At 48.7% G+C, this 7,513-nt stretch overlaps 1 annotated feature.

Moving 5' to 3' along the window:
- Window positions 3,148–3,207: an enhancer, noted in NCBI's record as "active region_15230". NCBI's record gives its function as "activates an Ori minimal core promoter by ATAC-STARR-seq in GM12878 lymphoblastoid cells {active_cell/tissue: GM12878}" and the evidence as "EXISTENCE:reporter gene assay evidence [ECO:0000049][PMID:35858748]".

Genomic DNA, 7,513 nt, shown 5'->3' with positions numbered 1-7,513 from the left:
TGAGCAGCTTCTGGAAACGTAACTTTTTCCTATCAGGTTTATAATTAAAATAGCTGTAGACTTCCCACCCACAGCTTTTTAATGATGATCTCTTGAAATTATTTTTGGCCTCACGTTGTCATCCAGGCTGGAGTGCAGTGGAGCAATCATAGCTCACTGCAGCCTTGAACTCCTGGGCTCAAGCAATCCTCCCACCTCAGCCTCTTGGGTAGCTGGAACTACAGGTGTGTACCACCACGCCTAGCTAATTTTTAAATTTTTTGTAAAGGCAGGGTCTCTCTATGTTGCCCAGGCTGGTCCTAACACCTGGGCTCACGCAATCATGGGGAGCTAGAAAATCCTGTCCTTGGAAGAGTGTCCCTGAGTTTTGCACGGACTCAAAAGGAACAGAGCCGCTGTATCCAAATTTCTGCAAATGCTGGAAGCACAGGGTGGCAGCAGAGTTTTAGGGCATATTAAGTTTGTTCCAACTTAATTTGCTTTTTAATGCAATTATTAAGGCTGTTAGAAACTGTTCTTGTTTATACGGAAAAGCCACTGTTTTGTAACAATACCTGCTTACTCTCCTACTGTGTCTTAACACTTTTCCTGTTAATTTCCTTGAGTTTTCCAGGTATGCAATCCCATCATCTGCTAATAATAATACTCTCATTCCTTCTTCCCCATCCTACTACTAATACTCTCATTCCTTCTTCCCCCTCCTACTAATAATAATACTCTCATTCCTTCTTCCCCATCCTACTAATAATAATACTCTCATTCCTTCTTCCTCATACTACTACTAATACTCTCATTCCTTCTTCCCCCCTACTAATAATAATACTCTCATTCCTTCTTCCCCATCCTACTAATAATAATACTCTCATTCCTTCTTCCTACTACTACTAATACTCTCATTCCTTCTTCCCTCCTACTAATAATACTCTCATTCCTTCTTCCTACTACTACTAATACTCTCATTCCTTCTTCCCTCCTGCTAATAATAATACTCTCATTCCTTCTTCCCCATCCTACTAATAATAATACTCTCATTCCTTCTTCCTCATACTACTACTAATACTCTCATTCCTTCTTCCCTCCTACTAATAATAATACTCTCATTCCTTCTTCCCCATCCTACTAATAATAATACTCTCATTCCTTCTTCCTCATACTACTAATACTCTCATTCCTTCTTCCCCCCTACTAATAATAATACTCTCATTCCTTCTTCCCCCTACTAATAATACTCTCATTCCTTCTTCCCCGTCCTACTAATAATAAAACTCTCATTCTTTCTTCCCCATACTACTACTACTAATACTCTCATTCCTTCTTCCCCGTACTACTACTACTAATACTCTCATTCCTTCTTCCCCCTCCTACTAATAATAATACTCTCATTCCTTCTTCCCCATCCTACTAATAATAATACTCTCATTCCTTCTTCCCCATACTACTACTAATACTCTCATTCCTTCTCCCCCCCACTAATAATAATACTCTCATTCCTTCTTCCCCATCCTACTAATAATAAAACTCTCATTCTTTCTTCCCCATACTACTACTACTAATACTCTCATTCCTTCTTCCCCGTAGTACTACTACTAATACTCTCATTCCTTCTTCCCCACACTGTGTCGCTTACACAGTCTCACATCTCATGGCCTCATCTAGCACTCCCTCAACATTTTCCATTCGGGTGATAAATTGGTAGTGAGTGCCTCCAAGCTAAGCACCATCAGTTAGATGTGTTTCTGGCCTTTAGGAAAAGGGATTCCTTGCATTTCAGCAGAAAATGGTGCCTGCCTAAGCCCCGCTGTGGGCCGGGGTCATTTGCAGTGTGGACCACCCAGTCCAGGGTGGGGGCCCTTCCTGTGGCTCACTGCAATGGTGGCAACGGGGCCGGGCCAGGGCACAGCAGTGGACTGACAGGGCTGGAGGGAGAGAATGGGTGCCCGTTCAGAGATCGCTGGCGTTGTGTCCCAGGGCACCATACACAGAGGAGTGCAGGCAGGTGAGATGGGAGACAGAGGGCAGGGGCAGTGAAGGGCGATGCTTTGCCCTGGGTGATCCTGAGGCTGGCAGGGTGGCCAGTGCCGCCAGGCCCAGAGCTTTGCCCCGCGTGAGGCACACAGAATGGGGGCCTTTTGCGCACATCACGAGACTGCTTCAGAGTTTCAGGTGTCTTGAAATGTCTGTCAGTAGGGACATGCGGGTCCCACTGGAGATTTTAGTACATATTTCTTCCTTCCACAATTTGTACAGTAACAGTCATGGCAAACAACTACATACATGTGGTGGTGGTGTGGTGGTTGGTGTTGGCCCAGGCTGGAGTGCAGCGGCGCGATCACCGCGCTCCGCGGCCTGGACCTCCTGGGCTGGGGCGATCCTCCCACCTCTGCCTCCTGAGCGGCTGGGACCACAGGTTCAAGCTACAAATCCAGCTTCTGCATTTTAAATTCAGAAAATTAGTTCCTTCAGGCTAAATTAAAGAAGATAAGCCAAGTTTCGTGTGCATATGTATTTTGTGGGATATTCACTTGTTCCAGCACCGTTCGTTGTTGAAGCTAACGTGATGTTAAAACTACGTATTTTTAAATAAGTATCGATTCACAGGCAGGTGCAGAAAAAGTGCAAGGAGGCCCTGGGTCTCCTTCACACACTTCCCCCCAGGACAGTGTCTTGCACAGGTATAGATAGGTGCGTTTTAAAATTTATCTTAAGTAAATAATAAAAGTGGATAAAACATGAACAAGAATGTTTTTGAAACATTATTTATAAAAGTCACAAACAGCAAAAATCTAAAAAGCAACAATAGAAGTGCATTTACATAAACGACAGCTCCGTGTTGCAGTGGAGTCCTGCGGGTCATTAGGAAGTGATGTCCACATGTGGCCATGTGGCTCTTGGCTCTCAACGTGTTAGAAGTCAACATATGGCCGGGCGAGTTTCCCCGACAAGGCCGTTTAGAGCTGCGCCCGGGAAGGTGGGCACGAGGGAGGTGGCACAGGGGCGGGGGCTCGCAGGCTCCCCAGGGGCGTGCACTGCAGTCTCCAGGAGGGCGACGCGCAGAGCTCCCCAGTGTGGTGAATGCCCCTGCACGTGTGGGCAGAGTGCAGGGCATGCGCACAAAGGAAGGGTCACGGAGCAGCGCGCAGGCCTCAGCGGGGATCTTAGTGTGATGAGAGGCCAGGGTCCAGGCGTCACTCTGCGGGCGGGCGGCGTTTCTCAGTGTGACACACCCCCTGAGGTGGCCCGTGAGGTGGAGCAGCCAGGCCCGGCTTTGGCATCGGGCTGCTGTGCCCTACACCCGAGAGAGCCGCAGGCAGCCCGGCTGCAGAAGCGTTCACTCTCGGTCCTCCCCAGAGGCTCAAGATGAGGGTGGGATCCCCGCGGGCTGAGGAGCGCTGGGCCAGGAGCTCAGCAGACGGTTCCGGACTCTGCGCCGCCGCCCACCAGCCTCCCACCGCCTCGGCCCACAAGCTCCCCAGACGCAGACGGCTCCTCCAGCACCTGTGCAGACGCAAGGGCGCGCGCACACACACACACACACACAACACACCATATACAACACGCCACACACACCACACACACCACACAATTCACCACACACCAGACAACACACACCATACACAACACACAATTCGCCACACACCACACACCATACACACCACACAACACATACCACACAGCACACCACACACAACACACACCACACACCACACCACACACAACACACACCACAGACAACACACACATAACACACCATACACAACACACACCAAACCCATCACACACCACACAACACACACAGCACACATACTACACACAACAGACCACACACCATAGACAACACAAACACAACACACCATACACACCACACACCACACACAGCACATACACCACAGCACACACACCACACACACCATAGACAACACACACAACACATACCACACACACCACATACAACACACACCACACACCATACACACATCACACACACCACACATACACCATACCATAAACACACCACACAACATACCATACATACACCACACACACCACACATCACACCCTACACTACAGATACCACATACACACACCATACTACACATATACATCACACTATACCACACACCCCACACAACACACTACACACCACAGACACAGTACACCACACCCATGTCACACCACACACGCCATACACCACACTTACCACACAACACACACAACACACCATACCATACACACTCCACCATACACACACCACACACATTCAACACACAACATACTATACACATACCACGTACACCAGGCATTACACACACCAAACACACACCACAGTATACACACACATCACACACACCACAGACACATCACACACACCACACAACATACACATACCACACACATTCAACACACAACATACTATACACATACCATATACAACAGGCATTACACCACACACACCACAGACACACATCACACACAGCACACAACATACACCATACCATATGCACACACCACTGCCCTCACACAACACACCATACACACACCACACACCAGCAACCCCCCTTCCGCGCACACAGCACTGCGCTCCCACCCTGTGCCACGCTCTCTGCCCCACCCTGTGTGATTTTTCTCTTTTGAGGGGGTGGTAGGGGGGCGCCCTGCAGACTGGGGGAAGAGTGCAGGCTGGGTGGGGGGGGGGGCGCGCCTCTGAGCCCTGCGCCCTCCCTGTGTCCCGGGACGCCAAGCTCCGGAGTCAGGGTGTGTGGAGCCCGTGCTGCCGGCCTGCTGGTGGTGACTCGGCCAAGGAGCGTGGAGCCACCTCTCCGACTCCTAAAGCGACTCGAGTCGTTCGCCCTTCTTGGGTTTTTGCTTCTCTGCCTTGGCCTTCCCAGCCCCCAACATTGGTGTTCACCGAAGAATGTTCTATGGAACATTTTCGGAGTCAGTAGATGCCTCTGCCCTAAGAGCCAACAGTTGTGTTACCTGAAACAGTGTCTTCATCGCAAGCCTTCCCACTGCCCAGGACGGAGCTAGGACCGGGTTTTCTCACATTTTTTTTTTTAACCTCAAAACCCTTTTTGCTATTCACCTCACAACTTAGGTGACATGAGACACATTTTGGGAAACGTTTTGGGGGCAGTGTGACCTTGAAGATGATGACAAATGCAGAATGAGATACCCTGGAATGGACATGTGGTTAGATTTCATCCTGGGGGCACGGAGGTCTGGCATAATTCACTGAAATGCTGTAAACCAGCCTGCATTTTCTCCCAGGAAAAAAACCTCCATCTTTACTTCAAAGAAGATGTATGAAGATCAAGAGAAATGTTTTCCTTTTAATTAGTTTCAACCACATTTTGCTGACTGTGTCCTCCAGGCAGCTGTTTCTGAATATGCTGCTTCTTTCTGAAGAAATCCATACCCACACTCCCTTTTTTCAATTAAGAAAATTTACATGCACAGATGGGTTGCTTGTTGATTTATAGAGAACACAACTTTTTTTATTATTATTATTATCATTTTTTGAGATGGAGTCGTGGTCTATCACCCAGGCTGGAGTGAAATGACATGATCTCGGCTCACTGCAACCTCTGCCTCCCAGGTTCAAGCGATTCTCCTGCCTCAGCCTCCCGAGTAGCTGGGATTACAGGTGCCCACCACCATTCCCAGCTCATTTTTGTATTTTTAGTAGAGACGGGGTTTCACCATGTTGGCCAGGCTGATCTCAAACTCCTGACCTCAGGTGATCCATGTGCCTCAGCCTCTTAAAGTGTTGGCATTACAGGCGTGAGCCACGGCGCCCGGCCTATAGATAACATAACTTTTTTAAAATTGAAAATTTTCAAAAAATTTGAAATACACAAGAGAATGGTTTGTTGACCATCCAAATACCTCTGTCACCTACCTTCAATAATTATCAACACTTGCTACCCTAATTGGGAACGGTATTCTGGAAGTGGTTTTTTTTCATGTGCAGTACTAGGCGTGACTCTGATACAGGAATCTATTACAGTCTCCTGTCATTTTAGGTATCATCTGTGAACCTGCCTGCCTTCCTTGACTTGTAGGGTCTGGGACAGTCTCACTGGTTGTCATTACACAGGTCTTAGTGTTAACCCCAGGCTTATTTATAGAGACACCCTTGCTTTCACTGCAAACATACTATATTCTTAGCTGTCAGCTGTCAACTGCTCCTGAAACAACCCTTTTTACCCAGGTGCTCCTCCGCAGCTTCTAGCCATCCACCCGTCTTCCATTATTTATCATACCTCTGGTCCCTTACTGTTTTCTCTATTTCCCAGCAAGCCCTTCAGGCTGTTCCATTTAGAAGACATTAAGTCAGTTTTGGCCCTCCCAGGAAGAGTGGTGTAGACTCAGCCTCCTCCACAGAATGGTGTCTGCCCTGGCAGCACTCAGACTGGGTTCAACAGGGAACAGCCAGGAGGGTATGAGACCTGAAGTCGTGGCATTGAGAGCAGCTTTGCTCGTCTCTTTCACTTGCAAGCTGTTGGAAACACTCACCAGTAGGACACCTTGGCAGCTTAGTATTTGTCATGGACGTCTGGCCTGTCGGTCTGCCCTTCCACCGCCCCTCTCCCTGACCAGTCGTGGGGCTGAGGGGCTGCCAGGCAGAGCACCTCCCAGACTGGGCACCCGGCCAGGCCCAGGGTAGTGGAGTCTGCACCTCGGGCTCCCAGAGAGATCTAAAGGGCTTGCAGTCTGGAATCTCCCATGAGACTGGATATCCCATCATTACATAACAGAGCTCTTTTGCCTTGAATTGCAAGCAAGTGCAGTCTTAGAGCTACTGGCGGCTGTTTTCTGACCCATGCAGAGAGCTCTTTTTAGTAGCTGAGTATTCAGACAAGGCACAGAGAAAAGAGGGTTGAGATAGGGAGGAGAGAGAGAAAGAGAGAAGGAGAGACAGAGGGAGGAAGAGAGACAGGAGGGAGAAAAGGGGGCAGAAAGAGGGAGAGAAGAGAAGAAAAGCTAAGTGAAGAGAGAGACACACACATATGGAGAAGATAGAGACAAAGAGACATAGACAGAGCTGTTAACATACTTTCAGCCCTGAATCCTGCCATGCCCAAGGTGCGTTCTGCTCTAACCCTTCTCATTTATGTGATCCAACATATCTTTGTTCCCGTTTGTTTGCTTAGGTAACTTGGACTTTTCTTTTTTTGAGATGGAGTCTCACTCTGTCGCCCAGGCTGGAGTGCAGTGGCGCAATCTTGGCTCACTGCAACCTTCACCTCCCGGGTTCAAGTGACTCTCCTGCCTCAGCCTCTTGAATAGCTGGGATTACAGGTGTGCACCACCATACCCAGGGTTTCACCATGTTGGTCAGGCTGGTCTCGAACTCCTGACCTTGCGATCTGCCCGCCTCGGCCTCCCAAAGTGCTGGGATTACAGGCATGAGCCACCGCGCCTGGCCAACTTGTTGGATTTCTGTCACCTGCAACCTAAAGTACCCTGAACAAAAAAGATGAGAGCTGTGGTTCTTACAGTATGGAGATGT

This window comes from Homo sapiens, chromosome 2 (assembly GCF_000001405.40).
Source record: "Homo sapiens chromosome 2, GRCh38.p14 Primary Assembly".
Taxonomy (NCBI): domain Eukaryota; kingdom Metazoa; phylum Chordata; class Mammalia; order Primates; family Hominidae; genus Homo; species Homo sapiens.
Note: the sequence above shows the minus strand (reverse complement) of the source record. Positions and strands in the feature narration are given on the sequence as shown.